Source organism: Homo sapiens, chromosome 4 (genome assembly GCF_000001405.40).
Source record: "Homo sapiens chromosome 4, GRCh38.p14 Primary Assembly".
Classification (NCBI taxonomy): domain Eukaryota; kingdom Metazoa; phylum Chordata; class Mammalia; order Primates; family Hominidae; genus Homo; species Homo sapiens.
The window spans coordinates 80,065,042-80,083,459 of record NC_000004.12 but is presented as its reverse complement, the minus strand read 5'-3'; the positions used below and the strand labels follow the sequence as shown (position 1 = coordinate 80,083,459).

Below are 18,418 nucleotides of genomic sequence, written 5' to 3'. Positions count from 1 at the left end.
TGTTCATTTTCTAATTGAACTGTTTCATTTTGGTGCAAATATTATCCTAGATTTTTCTTATTGGAGCTCTTCAATCTGACTTCTACAACTTTTGGTCATGCCCCATCATTCTTTGAATACCTCTTACTTTCTGGGACAAGATATTCTAAGTTCATAGATTCCTGACTCACTTTGAATTTAAACATATCTTTAAGAATTCCTAGTTCGCTTCAGTGGAGAGTGACATTTAAAACCAAGAAATAAGCATCATGTATGCCCATTGCTGCTGTTGTTCTCAGTCTATCTAAGTAGACAGAGCTATATATCTGCATATACATGTACACACACACACACACACACACACACACACATATATATACTGTGTATACTGTGTTTTACATATATACACATAGCAGTCTCTTTGGTTTTGCTTTTTGGGGTTTCAGTTATCCACAGTCAACTGCAGTCTGAAAATATTAAATAGAAAATTCCAGAAATAACAATTCATACATTTTAAATTGAACACTGTTTTGAGTAGCCTGATGAAGTCACACACTGCCCTGCACTATCCCTCTCAGGAGGTGACTCATCCCTTTGTGTAGCATATCCACCCGGTATATACTACCTGCCTAATGGTCACTCAGTAGCTGTCTCGATTACCAGATCAACTATCCTAGTATAGGTATCATAATGCTTGTGTTCAAGGAACCCTTGTTTTATTTTTATTACAGTAAATTGCTGTAATTATTCTATTTTATCATTAGTTGTTGTTAATCTCTTACTATGCTTGATTTACGAATTAAAGTTTATCATAGGTATGTATGTACAGGCAAAACAAGTATATACAAGGTTTGGTACTATCCATGGTTCAGACAACCACTGCAGGACTTGAAATATATTTTCTGTAGATAAGGGGGAAGGACTACTGCATCTGCACATATACTCACATCTATATCTGTAATTATATGTATGAATTCACACTAATATCTCCAATTGCAAGCTAGCACCACAGGATTTATTCTAGATTTTTCAATTTCATTATTTACAGCTTTCTTCTCTGACGGTAACTCCCATTATCTATACTAGTTTGACTTAATCCCTCACTATGGTCTGAAAGTTTATATTTCCCCCAAAATCACATGTTGAAACCTAATCCCCAATGTCATAGTATCTGGGCTGGAGCCTTTGGGAGGTCATGCAGGTGAAGCCCTCATGAATGGGATTAGTGTCCTTTTAAAAGAGGTCCTAGAGAGTTGCTTTGCCCCTTCTGCCATCTGAGGACACAGTGACAAGATGGCTGACCATGAACCAGGAAGACGATCCTCATCAGATGTCAAATCTGCTCGCATCTTGATCTTGGACTTCCCAGCTTCCAGAACTGTGAGAAATAAATTTCTGTTGTTTGCAAGCCATGTAGTTTATGGTATTTTGTTAGAGCAGCCTGAAGGAATGAAAGCATTTCCTGAGTGAACCAATTTCTCATCACCACTGTTGCCCTCTCCAACACAGATTCTCTCATTCTGCTTAAGTTCTGACATGAGCACCACCTTGCACTTTCACTCAGGATCTGGCCCCAGTCACGAGCTGCTTCTTCCTACCCTGGGTGGACATCCTCCTCATCTTGCTTGAATCTCTACCTGTGGCCTCAGGCTTCACATACCTTTTCCCTCCATGTCGAAGCCTTTCCTTCTCTCTCTCAAGCTCTGACACGCTGCACTAGGTTGCCACCTAGGCAACCCGCCTGGGCTATGACACACTATGCTGGGTGTCAGTCTGTTAGTCACTCCTTTGACAAGCTTCTCTCTTTCCTGAAGCCCCCCTTACCCTGGTTGGGTTTATATACCTCAGCTGTGCTCTCTCCCTGACCAGAATTCTTCTTCAAATGCTTGGGTTCTTGTACCCTGTGCTCTGCTGCAACAGCCCTACTCACTCTTCTCATGCTCTGGCATCCTGAGACAGCTTCTGCCTTCCAGTGTTGACTCTCTCTCTCCCTGTCCATCCTCTGACACCCTGCGTGGGGATGACCCCCTGCATGGAGGTCCATGTTTGGGCTCCAAATACTCCACAGTGAACTTTCCCCCATGCAGAAGTCCTCCTGATTTTTTTTTTTTGAAGTAAAGGGTGGACTTTATTGTTTATTTATAGGATGCTGCAAGATAAGAAATTCCACACAGAAATAAGAAACCCATTCAGAGGACAAGCTTCCTACAGTATGTACAGTTGGAACTGTTCAAGTATAGTTTCAGTGTAAAAAGTGCTACAATAACCAACCACATTTAAAAAGAGTTCTTAGTAGAGAAACAGTAAGACAAAATACCAAATATAGTACACAACAAATACATACCTCAGCTACATGATCTAAAAGTTAAACGTTCCAGGAGTCCCATTCTGAACTTGGAAGGTACAGCCTTCAGAGTTAGTTTCTGGCACAGCATTTTGATCTTCCTCTTCCTCTACCAAGAAATTCTTCTCAATTAAGCTTAACAAAGCCTTATACACAGACTCATTTTCATGGTTTTGTAGAGCCTCAATTTTGTCTAAGCCTCCACATTCTTCAATCATTATACTAAGTTTCTCAGTTTCACCTAGTTTCTCAGCAGCCTGAAAGATGTTCGAAATGGCATCCAGGATAACCAGAATAACCTTGGTATCTTTTGAAGTTAAGAGATTCATCAATGGTTTTATTAGGCCACAATGAATGAGGTATACAGCCTGTTCAACTGTTCCACCACTGGTATAGTTGGTCATGGCCCCATACAGCTTCCTTTTGTGTCTTTAAAATCTGCCTTAGAGAGAACATTGTGAGGAACGGGACTAATCCATGATTCACAACTTGCTGTATCTCATCCTGAGGGTCAGCTGTGATGTTTGACATTGTCCATGTACCTTCCTTCTGAAAGTTAGTTTTGGAGTTGATGAGCAGGTTGGGAAAGACAGCAAGAGCTCCTGCATCGATCACAACCTGAGTCTCTTCATCTGTACCAGTGACAATATTCCCTATGGGTCTTAGTGCAGGAGTCACAGTTGGCAATTCAGAAGCTCCTAGAAGCTTCACAAGTTGGGGCAAAACTCCTATTTTCAAGAACATGTCAGTTCGTTTATTTGGACCATCAGTAAGGTAGGAAATAGCCCAACAGCTATCTGCTAATACTTCTGGATCATCATGATGCAGGAGCCAAACTAAGGTAGAAAGAATTTGCTCAACAGCATCTAACTGGGGTGCAGGATTCTTGTAGCAGCAGAGGATTGAAAGTGTCCAGGTAAGATGACATAAGTAACCACATACTAAAGATGACATATCGGGAACTGCAAGAAGAGCCAAGAGTGGGTCAACTGCACCATACTTAATAACCAAGTCTCGGAAAACTAAACCATCACCTGCAATGTTTCCTAGAGCCCATACAGCTTGTTCACTGATGTGAGCATGGGGAGATGCTAACAGAGAAATGAATGCTGGGATGGCACCTCCATCTACCACAGCCTTGGTTTATTCTGATGTCCCAGAAGCAATGTTAGCGAGTGCCCAAGCAGATTCAAACTGAATGGGACTACAATCAGTTCTGCCCAAGAAGGACACAAATTTTGGAATCAAACCAGCCCAGATTATGTTGCCTATGGGGGGCTGTTTTTCTCTAGAAAGTAGTTTCATGGCAGCTTGAGTAGCTTGGAGCTGACTTTCCATATTGTTGCTATTTGTGCCTTTGACAATGTCATCAACAGACCAATTTACAGTGCCCTGGTTTTTGCGGTTTTTCTCCAGCGGAGAAGCAGCAACATCAGGAAATGAGCTTGCATTTCTCCTCTTCAGCATCTGGTCATTCCTCTTAGCTTTCCTCAGCTTCACATTGACTTCTATTCTGCGACACCTCATTTCTGTACTGTCTTTTCACTTGTTCTTGAATCTGTTAAGTCGGGCAACTGGTATATTAGCATTCTCGTTGGTAGACATGGTTGTGAGACAAAGGGAGGAAAGCTGCAAAGCAGGCCCAGGGTTCTACAGGAAGCGACGCAGGGATCGGCGGCTGTGGGGCGGCTACGCTCAAAGCGTCCACTTCGACTCAGCTCAAAGAAGTGTTGTCCTCCTGATCTTAATTAGGGTCAGAAACGTCACCTCCTTCCCACCACCAGGTAATCTGCTCACTGGCTTATTTCTCTATTCCTCATGCTGGGCCACCTTCCCACGTAGACACTTTCTTCACCCTTCTCAGTCTCCAATGCTCCATGCCAGGCTGTCCTTCCCTGCACCATGGGGACACTCTCCTCGCCCTGCTTGGCTTTCGGCACATTGCTGGGACTACTTTACTGTAGCTCTGCACCACCCTAGCACCCAGTGCTTGGCCCACCTAATGGCTTTTGACCTGAATTGTTCAGTGAGAATAGAAGGCAAGAGAAAGAGGAGATAGCATTTGACACCTAGAACACAGTATCAGGGAAATGTGAGTACAAAACGAGGTAAATCCAAAAGATATACTTGTGCATAGGAGGGGAACAGTGACTCGCAAGGTTTCTCTGGAGCATCAAGTATATGAAGGGACTAGACTTGTTGAGGTGAGGATACAAAGCTAAGTTGTAATGCTATTGTGGAGGGCCTTCCATTGTTAGGAAACCACATTCCATTGCAGTAACTAGGTAGGTGATTAATATGATTGGTTTTATGCTTCAGGGGACTAATTATATTGAAATATGGAGAAGGTATAGGAAGAATAGAATACTGTTAGAGCAATTCCTTCGAGAATTGAGAAACTGACCTGCACCAGAGCTAAGATAGAAGGCATGAGAGAAGTGATGCAGTTACATGACTTTATCATTCTAGGATGCCAATCCAAGCCTGAGCTGCTTTGTGAAGGTCTGACATTGCACATGAGATAGGACTTTCAACAAACTAGCTGCCAGGTGTCTTGGCCTTTTTTGGATATTCTAGATGCTGTGGTTGTAGGTGCTGTAGTTGCATCACCTAGATTCCTCCTTCAGGGCTGAAACACTAATTTCCCCACAGCCAGGATTTTGCTGTTGACAGCTCACAACTGAGTCCCTCCTCATAACTGCCCCAAGTCAAAAGAAGCTGCCATTGCTTAAGGTTATGCCTTTCCCCTGTAGAGTGGAAGCCCACATTTAGTGAGTGATCCATGAGGGGTAACAAACACTGGCTCCCTTGTCTCACTCAATTCAGGACAACTATGAAAGGCTATCACAGCTCCAGAGTTACCTTTGGTGGTTGCCTGAAGCCTCCTTCGGAATTCCATCATGGTTCAAGTTTCTCTCTGACAGTTCCTGCTTCCCTCATCCCTTCGTTGAGGTTTTGCTGCATGCCTCAATATATCTCCTGCATGCAAATTTCTGAATCTCAAGTCTGTTTCTGAGAAACTCAATTTGAGACACATTTGATCCCAAATGCAAATGTTAGTAATCATTCTCTAACATTAGTTAGCACCCCCTATTGTCATACATAGAGATATTAATTTAGAGGCAATTGCACCTTCCAAAGGCATTGTATTCACTCTCAGGAACTAGTTCAGACATTGACGAAATCTAGTTCTTTAATGACTATGCCTGATAAAAGTTGAAATAAGCTTTATCACTTATAGGTAGTGAAGATTTATTTTCTTCCTCTGAATCACTGTAGATATCATATAATGAATCATTTCCCATGTGACATGAATATGAATCATTTTCAGTATGGTACTCAACTTCCGGGAGAGTCACGTCTGTAGTCGTGTATGCCACAAAAGATGTCTACTTGCAAATAATATAGATTATATAATTTTTTACACATAAAGAATACTTTTATTGTCGTTGCTTATTTGCCTTTCTGTTAGTTTATTTGTTGGGGTATGGGGTGATGGAAATAAATTCACGACAGGAGATTGAAAACGCAAACTGCTTGAGAATAGAAAGTCTAACATTTGTGCTTAAAACATTACCTGATACATAGTAGGTATCAGTAAACATTCATTAAGTATAATAAAAGACCAGTAAATAAGTAATTAAATATAATTTAACGTGTAGTCCATTGGAGCTCTGCAGGTAGGAAAAAAAGGACAATGAGAGGGGGGTCTAGTGAAGACTTTAAATCATCAAGTGTCAATCTCAAGCTATTCTAACTGCATTAAAATGAATTTAACATGTTTTGGGGTTCATTAGCATTTTTATTAATAAGTTTGATTTATTTATTTATTAAGAAGTTTGATTTAATACAAAGAATAATTTTCAAAGAGTGGGGGCATTCATGGATTGTAAAGCCAAATAATTCAGTGGAAATACAAATAATTTGATAAAAGAGACTTTTTTAGATTTATTTACCTACATAATGCAGTATAGAGTCTCTTTTTCTCTCTCTCTCTTAAAAAATCTGCATTATCCCTCCCATTCTTGATGTCAGATTGAAAGTTAAGCAGGGTCCCAGCATGACTGTCATGGTACAAAAGTCAGTTTGAAACCTTACCTGGCTATTCTCCAGCTGATACAATTCCCAGAGTGCTCTCACTGATGAAGAAGGGAAAGTACTGCTGTTGCTACCACTTCTTTTTCATGGCTTGGAGAGATTTTCATGTCTGCTTTTGCTTTCATCTTCCCTCATTATTGCTTAGGAAAAGAATGACCAACAGTTTTGCTTGCCAGGAACTATCCCAGGGACTGCCCTAGTTTTAGCATGGAAAGTCCCATGTCCATGAGACTGAAGACACCCCTCAGTCTGTGACAAATTAGGACACTTGGCTGCCCCAGTAATTAATGATCTTCTGATTAATTTTTATTAAATGAAAGTGATTTGATTAGTTATTGGTCTGAGGCCATTTTTTGCTTTGCTGTAGATCTTACATGAGCAAGTCAGTGAGATGCAAAATGCTCCAGGACTGGGATGAATTCTTTACCCAAGCAAACAGATAAACAAAAAAGTGCTACTATTTTTCTGGTATGTCAATATTCTCTGCCAGCCTTGTACTCAAGAAAGAAGAACTGAGTGGGAGTACTCTCAGAAGGCCTGGAAATTTTGAGGAAGAATGAGTTTTAAATTGAGGTATTTTGCTTTAGTTTGAACCTAGGACAAGATGGATTCTTAGACCAGTTTGGGAAGTCCCAGAAGATGAGCAGGTAATTAGTCAAGACTAGGGATAAAGGAAACCAACAAATGTGAGTTTAAAATACTTCCTTAGGAGGACAGAGTACATGGTTAGTATCATGTCTCATATTTCTTTGCCTTCTGTCTCCTTCTAACATGAAACCAATTGTCACTTTTTTGGGGGGATACATTTTTTCCCCAGATTTTATTCAATAACATGCTGATGTGGCATATAATATCTTTGATTCTGTCTTAAGATTAAAGTTGAAAATGGAAACCAGTTTCAACCAGCAATGAATACAAAACCTTGAAAGATGAACAAGCTGTTGATACAAATTTCCTGAAAATGTCAGCCTGTTTCAGTTCTCTTATGGGAAGTCAGGGAGATTTATGTATTCAGGTTGGACCAAAATGTGAAATGAGAAGTGGCAACACATACCTGGAGACTGGAGGGCTGCAGAAGTAATCAGTATTTTAGAACCTCAAGAAAAGATGAAGCCAAGGAGGACAGAATTAAGGTGCTTTAAGGACTTTCTTAATTAGTCTCAGGACTAATTAAGGACTTGCTTCTAGTGCTTAATTATTTGAAAATTATGAAGGCTGTATGTTTCCTTCTTACAAAAGTAAAAGTTATCTTCCATCTAGCTAGCCCCTTGCCCCTCAGTATCTTCCTCACTCCATCAGGTAAAAAGTGGCAGATTGATGCAGTTGATAGTGGTGGAATTTCCATCCCCAAGTGACCAGTTGGCAAAGAGTGAGAAGGGATGTTAGCCACCCTCCATTCAATGTTTGACATTTGTAATGAGCATATTTTCAAAATGGAGGTCTGCCGGTATATATTGAAGTTTTCATCCATTCATAATTCTCAGGTTAGTTGCTATAGTGATGATGGTCCAAGGTACCATTTTATTTTGCCTTTGTTAAAATAGAGATGATAAGACTGACAGAATGTACTCTGTGTTCATAAGACACCAAATTATAAACAAGACCTAAGACCATGCCAGGCAAAGGTCAAGTCACACACTCCTACACTTAAAAAATAAACTATATTCTAACTGCCAAAAGGGTTTTCTTTTTCTCTAGCATCTAAACAAACACTGGCCTCCAGATAAGCAATATTGAAACAATTGCATCTTACTGACTGCAAGACACTAACTAATTAATCCTCCACCCCTACCCCTGTTCCACAAGCCATAACTACAGCTCTGACTGGACAAGAGACTGATTTTAATAACTCTCCTGATAAGAGACCACTGACCATAGACTGGTTCTGGCTGGTTTACAGAGGCTGTGGCACTGAGTGCCTTCATGTCTTCTGTTTCACCTTTTGACATATAGGGCCTAATTATAATACATTTAATTGTTAAGTCTCCACCTCAAAGTGAACATGAGACATATGCAACTTGCATGTTTGCTTACTATTCATGTTTGCTTACTAAACATGCATGTTGCATATGTCCCATGTTCACTTTGATGTGGAAACTTAACCCACCTGCTTCAGAAATATGCATAGTTCATGTACCCCTTGCTTCAGAAATATTCATAGTTCCTCCTATAACCTGTTGAATATGTATACTTGGCCAACTCATTTAGCATAAATTCCTGTTCCACCCTTTCCTCCCTCAAAGTGCCTGCTTTTTGTCTCTGCCAGAGGCTACACTTCCCAGCCTGTCAAGATGTCCAGCCTGCAGCTGTAACCCTTTATAAGAAATGAAGTTCTCCTTTCCAAATTTATGAACCTCAGGATTGTTTGTCAACATGTTGCTACTGCAATAGTCTCCTAACTGCTCTCCCTGTTGTCACTGTTGCTAACTCCAAATTCATTGTCTCATTGCAGCCAGAATGATCTTTGAAAAACACAGATCATATCAATTCATCTGCCACTCCACTCCTGGGCTTAAACCCCTCTAATAACCTCCTGTCACACTCAATATTAAATATCTGAATTCCTTATCTCAGTAAACAAAGCATCACATAATCTGGCCCTTGCCTATTTGTCTTACATCATCTTACCTGCAAAGCTCCAGCTACACAGTTTTTTTTTTTTCTTTTTTGAATATGCTAAGCTAATGTCTATGGACCTTTGCAGTAACTCCAAATGTTTCCCCTTAGAGCTCTTGGAATGACTGGGTCTTTTTTGTTAGTCACTGAGTCTGTCATTCTTTATCATCACAATATTTTAAATTTCTACAGGCCACCTTTCCAATATGGACATTTTTTTTCCTTGCTTATGTATTTATTTCTTATTGTCTGTTTTCACTCTTCAGCCAGACTGTCAGCTTCATGAAAGCAAGGGCTTGTTATCTTGTTCTGTGCACTAACCTCCACTTCTGGAACAGTGCCTAGCAAATAATAGGCACTCAATGAATCTTTGTTAAAGTAACTAATTTTTATCTTCAAAGAGCTGACATATCTGGTTGTATATCAAATATAATAAATGAAAAGTTAAATACATATGGCAACAAACAGAAGAGATGTATATGTAAGTACTACATAAAGCATTGATTTTGTTAAAAATGAAAAGGTATTTAGGTTCTAAAAGCCAGTTTTGACTAAGGGAGGGCGGAAGTCACGGAGGTGGGGGGAAGAGAGAGGAGGGAGAGCAGAACTAGTAGACAGAGGATTTGTGCACAAACTTGAGTGCTTGCACAAGTTTTGCAAAGGAGACCTAGCTTGCCCAAAGCTGAAATTCTCCAAAACTGGAGCTTGCAGGGAAATGACAGTGGGCTGAAATATTTTGAGGTACAACTTTCCACTCCCAAAGAGGCCTGCTATCCCCTCCCACTCCCCACTCCGGCCTTTCCTTGGCTTGGCTTTTTTTAAAGAAAAAAAAAAAAAAAACTAAGCAGGTTTCTTTAGAAGAAAAAGAGGAAGTTCATAAAGAGTGTTTGTGGTAGTAGGGGTGGGGTGGAGTGAGGAGTGAGGAGGCCGTCACCTCCCATGGAATCCTTAGTCTTGGGTTTGTGAACCACGCATGGGGGCTGTTTTAGCACAGCTGCTAAAATAGGCCAGGCCTGCAGGACATACGGGTATGTTTAGTTTCTAGATAACTTTTGTTTTTCTAAACTCCTTCTTCCCTTTCCCAAATCTGGCAAGCGTTAGTCATCTTCAACTCGGCAGGAACCCACAAGTGTGCATGTGTGGCTCGGAGGCTTCAGCTGGGGCCCCGCCCTCGTCCCCAGGCGCACACTGACACACGCAGCCCAGACCCGGCCCGAGCGGGCTCCTGCCCTCGGCGTGGCTTCTCTCCAGCCGGGAGTCCCAGGGCCAGCTAGCCTCCTCCCCTAAAGGGGACGGCCTGTCAGCGCAGTGCCAGAGTCCAGCACCGGGAGGAAAGTTTCGGAGTGCGGAGGGAGTTGGGGCCGCCGGAGGAGAAGAGTCTCCACTCCTAGTTTGTTCTGCCGTCGCCGCGTCCCAGGGACCCCTTGTCCCGAAGCGCACGGCAGCGGGGGGGACTTCAGCCCTCCAGGCGGGGTGGGTTCCAGGTCCGGGTCCGAGGCGGGCGCTGGAGGCTCGGCCCCAGGCCGGAGAGGAACTCCTTTCGCGAGCTGTCGCCGTGGGCCCGCATTGTCTGCAGGAACTCTCCGGAATCGGGAGGGGGAGGACTGGATCGCGCTTCCACTGGGATTCGTCAAGAGTTCCGGCGGCAGCTGCGGCGGTGGCGGAGACTCCCTTTGTCCTCTCAGGACCTCCCTCTCTCCCTCCCTGTCAGCTGGTGGGTCCCGCTGCCGCAGGCGCCGGCGTCTCAGCTGCTCGCCGCCCCCCACCCCAGAGTGCGTGCCGGGTGACTCCCGCCACCTTTGCGACCCTCCTGAGCTTAGGGGACTGCGAGCGGGAGGGAGTCTCAGGCCCCCGGCCGCAGGATGGTGGCGGAGCGGTCCCCGGCCCGCAGCCCCGGGAGCTGGCTGTTCCCCGGGCTGTGGCTGTTGGTGCTCAGCGGTCCCGGGGGGCTGCTGCGCGCCCAGGAGCAGCCCTCCTGCAGAAGAGCCTTTGATCTCTACTTCGTCCTGGACAAGTGAGTGTGCGAGGGAGGTCCAGGGTCTCCTGGTGAGGGCGGCACTGGATCAGCTGGGGCTGAGGCTGAGATGCGTGTGCGCACCCCGGGGAGTGGTGTTGGAAACCCGCGGAGGGGTGCCCTGTTGCTGTCTTCTTTCAAAGGGCAAGCGCGTTCGGATCTGTGTGGGCGGAGATCAGCCGGGTCGGGGGTAGTGATTGGAGCCCCGGGCTACTTGGCTCTTTGGGGAGTTGGGGTATTCACTGTTTGCCAGTCTTTTGGCCTCTTGGGAAATGGGAGTGTGGCCTCTTGCGGGCCACGCTCCATCGGCCACAGAGTCCTTACCCACCTCCTCGACCCTGCTCGTACGCAGGCTAAAGTTTGCCTGGTTTTATCCTAATCATAGCGCTTTCATTGGAGCCAGGAAAAGCCTAGGGTTAACATGCCCAATGTGGTTTGCATTTCCTGCGAAGAAAGGCTTTTGTGTTTACTCTGAAGAGCTGGGTTCCACTCTAAACAATTAGGCAGGTATTTACCCACCCCAGAAAACGGGCTGACTTCTTCTTCTTCTTTTTTTTTTTGACGGAGTCTTGCTCTGGGACTGACTTCTTTAACTCTGGGTACCACCAAAGTTTCAGCTACAGATACCCTTACTTAGCTTGAAAAAGAGGCCAGGTGCCCCTATGTTCGTGGCATTGAAGAAGGAACCATTTCAAAATGTTTACTTTTCAGTTCCGTGTTTTGTTTCTCTGATCAGTTCAATTTCATCTTTCAGGTCTGGGAGTGTGGCAAATAACTGGATTGAAATTTATAATTTCGTACAGCAACTTGCGGAGAGATTTGTGAGGTATCTTTCTTACTTTACTTTTCTAGGCAGTGGAGAAGTAGAGCAAAGTGTAGAATTTCCCTTTTCTGAAACCTTTTATAGGAAAAACTTTTCCTGAAATGTTACTTTTAAGTGCCTCAAGGTCGTATTGCACACATGCTGTTATTAGGACAGCCCTTCAGTCCTTGAGGGCTTATTTCATCTGGATCCCAGAAACTTGGCTCAGACTCTGGGGAAGCATCTTCAAATACTATTCCAAATGTCTTTTTCTTTCCGAATTTTCATCTGTTTTGAATTTCAGTTATGCTTTCTCATAATTTATCACATTAAAAAAATAAATTTTATGCGAATAGTATCCATAATATATTTTTCTTTCCACACATTTCTTAGCATTATAGAGGCCCTCATTAAAACAAACAAAAAGTGTTGGAAAACTTCAAATGAACATGTGTTAATAACCCGCTACCAGAAAAGGCACTTGTGTGTGTGTTTAAAGCAACGACTTGTGTTTACACAATGTGTGGGTGTGTGGTTGGTTTAAAATTTAACTGTTCTATATATGCAATAAGCATCACCAGGAAAGACTGGTTTCCTCTCCTATAAAAAGCATTACTGGTATGAAATCCAGCTTACTCTCTTATTTAGAGGTAACTAGGAATTAGTGGCATCTCCTATTTAAAAATAACCTCAGGACACTAGGCTTTTGAGGCTTTTTTTTTCCTTCTTTTTTTTTTAAAGAAAAAATGCAATGAGCAAACACAAGTTTATCAAGATAATGGAAAGGACATGAATAGGAACTGTATCATTAAATATTGCTTCTTTCAGTCTTGTTAGCCCAAATGTTTTCTGTAAAACAGGCTTGGATGATCAAAACATTTTGAAAGTCATGTTGCAAGTAACTTCAAACAATCTGTAGAGGCCTAGGCAATCCTTGCTTTCAGTTATTGGCAGCAGTAAAGTTATCCCTATAAAAATGTATGCCTGTCCATGTTCAATCATCAGTCCCTTGCTTAAGAAGCCAAGTTTAACACTCATTTCTGGACAGGGTCTGAGGTAAAACTGTCTAGGAAAGAAAAACAAACAAGATCCTATGTCCCTAAATGTCAAAGGCAGAACAGACAGTTGTTTATAAATTTTCTAATTTAATCCTTCAATGTGAAAAGGGTGTCATGTAGATTTTGATCAAAAGCAATGAATCACATCACTACAACATTTTAAAGAAGCAAGCTCTTATCTTAACTCATTGATCTGGTTTTTAAGTTGGAATTCTATAATACACAGTTGTCTGGCTCAAGCCTAGTTGCTCAATTACTAACAATACATTGTAGGAAGTGAATAAGGGGTGACTAATGAAGAGACTGACTTTTAAAATATGTATAAGCCTTTGAGAGGATTCTGATTTTCAGTTTATAGATTCTAGTTTCATATCTTCAGTTTTGAATCTTAGTAGTAGTTGCAGAGAGTGTCCGAGAAGCAAGAACCGTTCTGTGAGAGACATGCCTAAAACTTGAAAGATATAGCTGACTGGGGCACTTGTTGCCAATGGAAAATAGCATGTTTGAGACTTAGAAAATAAAAAATGCCTAAGCAGAAAGTGATTTATTGTTTCTTTCACATTTTCCATGACTCTTTAAGTAGTCTTACTTCAGGATGACTTTTTTATAGACTCATATCATAGTTATGGTCATTAAGTCAAACTGGGTACTCTCCACCCATAAGTGTTGATAACCATAATCACTTTGAAGGGCCTGGCCACCTTTAAAGGAAATGTTGTAGAAAACCAAGGGAAGAGGAATTTTCTACGAAAGAATTTTACATCAGCTTAGAATTTATCTTTCCAGTTAGTCTCTCTCTAAATGCAAGTCCTTATGGGTCATGGAGGAGTATGTGAGTGCTGGGAAGCGTTGACTAAATCCAAAATGACTTATGCAACAATGTTAAGCAGAGTTCGTCTATTTACTTAGGGAATGTCATTTAAAAGAAGCCTGGACCATTCAGTGAGACCAATTTTAAATGAACCTCCCTAACTATACATCTGTATCGTATCAATATTTCTTTTTAAAAATGTTTTAACTGCCTCTTTTCTTATTTTGCAGCCCTGAAATGAGATTATCTTTCATTGTGTTTTCTTCTCAAGCAACTATTATTTTGCCATTAACTGGAGACAGGTTAGTGCATTATCATTTCACTGCAGGCTTTTAGTAGAGATGAATTTTAAAGGCATGATTGATATTTCCAAGTGGTGATTCAGGCCTCTCAGTGGAATCAAGCAGATGCACAGACAATTCAGTTCTCTAATAGAAGGGAAAGGAGGTATGAGTAATATAAAAGAGCAGTTAATCTGAAAATCAATATCATTTATAGTGGCTGTGGAATGTGCAGTGAAATCTAGATCCCTGTCTTAGTTGTATATTCACCACTTCCTACCTTCCCCGGCCTCTCTGTTACTGTAAGTAGTTCTACATTTTTCTTGTTTAGATATAATATATTAATCAACCAGGAATTTGAAGAACATTGAGGGGGAGAAAGATATGGATCCTTTTGGATAATTTCCTAGATTCAGTAGACATCCTGGATTTCTGGTCTTTCTCTGAGGTCCATTAATGCTGAATATATTCACCTTTATAAGGGAACTTAGTATATATCAATATGTATACCAATATATCTCTATATCTATCTACCTATCTATTTAATCTCCTTAGTGTTTTTTAAAAGGTGTCTTTTTCAGACCAATGTCACAGTATTTCATATGACCATTTCTGTGTCATTCAAACAGTGTCAATGACAAGTTAGAAATAGTCATTGATATATTTTATGTTATTTTTATTTTTTGAGACAGAGTCTCTCTCTGTTGCCCAGGCTGGAGTGCAGTGGTGCTATCTTGGCTCACTGCAGCCCCCACCTCCCAGGTTCAAGCAATTCTCATGCTTCAGCCTCCCGAGTAGCTGGGATTATAGGCACATGCCACCACACCTGGCCAATTTTTGTATTTTTTTAGTAGAGACGGGGGTTTCACTGTATTGGCCAGGTTGATCTTGAACTCCTGACCTCAAGAGATCTGCCTGCCTTGACCTCCCAAAGTTCTGGGATTATAGGTGTGAGCCACCACACCCCACCTCACTGACATGTTTTAAAGAATGGGATCCATAGTGGGAGGGAGCTTTTATTCTTCATTTTTATGTCTACTTTATTTAACAGAGTATGTAAGCCAGTTTTTGGTCAATAAATTCTTGTTGAATGAATGAATGAGTGGTTTCCTGTTATTTTGAAATAAAATTTTTCTGAACTGTAGTTTCAGCAAGGGAAGCTGGTGTACTTTGTTTTGCATGATATGTGAATTTCTGAAAAGTTAACTGTAAAAACAGTTTTTTGTAAATTAAGTTTTCCCTTGAAAAGGTCAAGAAATCATAATATCTAAAGGAACTGGGGGAGAGAACTTATTTATAATTCACTTAATTGATTTAGAAAATTATCCGTATAAGATTTTAATCTTTGTGCTTTTAGTTTTCCTTTTCCTAGAGAGGAAAATCTCCCTGCAGATGCTGAGTGCAGCCTAGGATCTTGTCTTCCCATTGATACTTCTCCTTTCTTTCTTCTTTTTAAATTTAATTTAATTTTAATTTTAAGTTCTGGGATACATGTGCAGGGCATGCAGGTTTGTTACATAGGTAAACGTGTGCCGTGGTAGTTTGCTGCATCTATCAACCCATCACATGCATTAGCTATCTATCCTGATGCTCTTTCTCCCCTGCACCCCTCACAGGCCCCAGTGTGCGTTGTTCCCCTCCCTGTGTTCATGTGTTCTCATTGTTCAGCTTCCACTTACAAGAACATGCAGTGTTGGGTTTTCTGTTCCTGTGTTAGTTTGCTGAGGATAATGGCCCTCCTTACTTTCTTGTGTGGATGAGAATGAATCTCATCAGGAGCCAGAGCCATGGTAGTCCACAACCCGTGTATGGCAGCTTTCTATGCTCAGTGATTTAACAGTTCTCGCCTTTATGAAAATAAATTTTCTCCATTGCCCAGCTTAATTTCCAAAGAAACAGCCTTGTATCTAGCCAATCCAGAAAAAAAAGAACCATTTTAACATTTATGGCATTCCTATATATAGAAAAACACTTAGCATCATGCCAGGCTTGTAGAAACTCTCAGTCATTGATAGCTGCAAACATTGTGCCAGGTTCTTTGCTAGACACTTTGCATATGGTTCCTCAGCACTTTGAAGATGAAGTGTAGGTCACTGGGTGACCAGATTGGTATTGCTTAGATACGCATGGAAGGGGTTTAAATCTTTAACCCACGTTAGTGATTCTTCTTTCATCATTGGTTGAATCTAATAGGGGAGACACTGAGATAGGTTACAGAAGAGGCCTTTCTTTCTTTCTTTTTTTTTTTTGTGAGACAGAGTCTCGTTCTGTTGCCCAGGCTGGAGTGCAATGGCATGATCTTGGCTCACTGCAAGCTCCACCTCCCAGGTTCACACCATTCTCCTGCCTCAGCCTCCCGCGTAGCTGAGACTACAGGCACCCACCACCACGCCCGGCTAATTTTTTGTATTTTTTAGTAGAGACGGGGTTTCACCGTGTTAGCCGGGATGGTCTCGATCTCCTGATCTCCTGACCTCGTGATCCGTCCGCCTCGGCCTCCCAAAGTGCTAGGATTACAGGCGTGAGCCACTGCACCTCACCAGAAGAGGCCTTTCTTTAAAGAGGCAGCATAATGTTGCAGCTAAGAGTCACTAGACCAAATCTACCTGCGTGTAAATCCTGGCTTTCCAATTTACTAGCCAAATGGTCAAGGATAAGTTGCTTAACCTCTTTATGCTTCTTCTTTTTTCATCTATATAATGACGGCAATGATGATGATGATGATAGTAATACCTACCCCATAAAATTGTTACATGAATGAAAGTTGATGAATGTGAAGTATTTAGAACAGAGTCTGGTATATAAGTTTTCAAGAGATAAAGGCTTTATCACTATTATTATCATCTGGAGCTAGGCAGTATACAGTATTTTAATGATCAGAGAAGAATCATGCTTACATAAAGAAAATATTGCCCTTCTTAAAAGGATTTATAATATTCCAAAAGGAATTTTAATAACACTACTTGCAACTTGTTTTATACATAGTTGGTTCCTCTGTCTCTTCCTAAATATAAACACTTTAAGTTTTAATAAATTTCACTATTTGTGGCATTTTTAATTAGTTTGGGGTGGCAGAAAATAACACTGAGAATGCCTAGGCTAGAGTTCCAGTTTTGTCACTGACTGATTTGGAAACTTGGGGCAAATTGTATAACAGTGTATCAGTTTTATGTCCATAAGGTGCAGGACATAAAATCTTCCATATTTGAGTTTTTGTGAAGATCAAAATAAGATAATGTATATAAAGTTCCTTTGTATAGCATAGGACAACCTCCAATAAAGGACATTATTTTCTTGTTCTATATTGCTATTTTACTAATTTTATTTAATTAAATCAGTAACTTCTCAAGTTTCTGTGGTCCTCTATATTTGGATATAGGGTCACTTTTCCTCCATTACACACTTTTAAGTGTGAAGAAACAATTTGCATATTATATGCAGATCAGTAAACAAATGATTCCACAACTATTGTGAATCTTTGTTTCAAAGCCTAGAAATTGGAATTCTGCATATAAACTATTAAAATCTTGATGTTATATATTACAATCACAAATAGATCAGAGTGTGTGAGGAAAGCAAAGGTTAAGCAAAGAAAACCAAAGGTTAAGCACTGCAGGTTTCACAATTTTGTTTCTAGCACTCATAATTCTTCACAATCTTGGTAAATAAGTAGCTCTTTCATGTTTCTCAGAGTGTTGCTGAAGATTCTTAGTAGAGATGAGGCAAGATTAGAAGGTAGTAAATACTTACCGTAGGGCTGTGTCTTCTGTTATGCTTTCAGCATGGCATCCGGTACTATGTAAATGCATGAATAAAGTAATAAACATGCCAAAAAATGATGTTATGCATTTTATATACTCGTAACTTAAAAACCTTATTCTTTTAAATACTTTAATTTGAAACACTGCCTTCTTTTCTCTTGCTCTCATGATTTTTACCCTCCATATGTCTGTTAGTCCATTCCTCCACCTACCCACCCACCTACCTAAAGACTTGCTTATCTTATATTCAATGCATTGAGTACTGTGGAACCTGGGGTAACACAAAGATAAGTAATCTAGTGTGTGTGTGAGTAGAGGTATACACATGCACATAAATAGCCCAGGGATGTATTATAGGGTTAGGTAAGAGAAAAATGCCAAGTGTTGATTCAGTATGGAAATACCCAGCCTTTCAACAGTAGAGAATTTGGAATCAAGACTAATTAAAAAGTATTTTTAGTTATTATTTTGCATAATTGGGGATAGTGAATTAAGCTCAGTTCTGTTAAATATTATGCTAATACTGTAACAGAGATTTAGTTGAAAACATTTATTGAACAATTATTATGCACCAGGCAGTGTGCAAAATACTTTCCATGCATTGCTTCACTTAATCCTCATATGAACTTCCTGTAATAGATACTGTTATTACCT

General features: G+C 40.9%; 1 protein-coding gene and 1 pseudogene across 4 annotated transcripts in view, besides 5 other annotated features; one reads left to right on the top strand and one right to left on the bottom strand.

Annotated features, from left to right (window-relative positions):
* Positions 1,011 to 2,210: an enhancer, noted in NCBI's record as "MED14-independent group 3 enhancer chr4:81002404-81003603 (GRCh37/hg19 assembly coordinates)". NCBI's record gives its function as "activates an origin of replication core promoter dependent on BRD2, BRD4, P300/CBP and CDK7 cofactors, and independent of MED14, by STARR-seq in HCT116 cells {active_cell/tissue: HCT116}" and the evidence as "EXISTENCE:reporter gene assay evidence [ECO:0000049][PMID:35650434]".
* KPNA2P1 (karyopherin subunit alpha 2 pseudogene 1) lies at positions 2,090 to 4,049 on the bottom strand (annotated as a pseudogene).
* Positions 5,912 to 7,111: an enhancer, noted in NCBI's record as "CDK7 strongly-dependent group 2 enhancer chr4:80997503-80998702 (GRCh37/hg19 assembly coordinates)". NCBI's record gives its function as "activates an origin of replication core promoter dependent on BRD2, BRD4, P300/CBP, MED14 and CDK7 cofactors, with strong dependence on CDK7, by STARR-seq in HCT116 cells {active_cell/tissue: HCT116}" and the evidence as "EXISTENCE:reporter gene assay evidence [ECO:0000049][PMID:35650434]".
* Positions 9,882 to 10,161: an enhancer, noted in NCBI's record as "active region_21653". NCBI's record gives its function as "activates an Ori minimal core promoter by ATAC-STARR-seq in GM12878 lymphoblastoid cells {active_cell/tissue: GM12878}" and the evidence as "EXISTENCE:reporter gene assay evidence [ECO:0000049][PMID:35858748]".
* Positions 9,988 to 18,418, top strand: part of ANTXR2 (ANTXR cell adhesion molecule 2) — a 172,327-nt gene continuing 163,896 nt past the window's right edge. For 2 of the 4 annotated variants that reach the window (NM_058172.6, NM_001145794.2), the window contains exons 1-3: positions 10,231 to 11,051; positions 11,806 to 11,877; positions 13,953 to 14,024. In NM_058172.6, the coding sequence (NP_477520.2) occupies positions 10,900 to 11,051; positions 11,806 to 11,877; positions 13,953 to 14,024 (296 nt within the window). In that variant the 5' untranslated portion in view covers positions 10,231 to 10,899. Of the gene's footprint in view, positions 10,066 to 10,230; positions 11,052 to 11,805; positions 11,878 to 13,952; positions 14,025 to 18,418 lie in introns of those variants that run through there. The other 2 variants (NM_001286780.2, NM_001286781.2) reach the window with 2 other exon arrangements.
* Positions 10,492 to 10,601: an enhancer, noted in NCBI's record as "active region_21652". NCBI's record gives its function as "activates an Ori minimal core promoter by ATAC-STARR-seq in GM12878 lymphoblastoid cells {active_cell/tissue: GM12878}" and the evidence as "EXISTENCE:reporter gene assay evidence [ECO:0000049][PMID:35858748]".
* Positions 10,782 to 10,941: a silencer, noted in NCBI's record as "silent region_15516". NCBI's record gives its function as "represses an Ori minimal core promoter by ATAC-STARR-seq in GM12878 lymphoblastoid cells {active_cell/tissue: GM12878}" and the evidence as "EXISTENCE:reporter gene assay evidence [ECO:0000049][PMID:35858748]".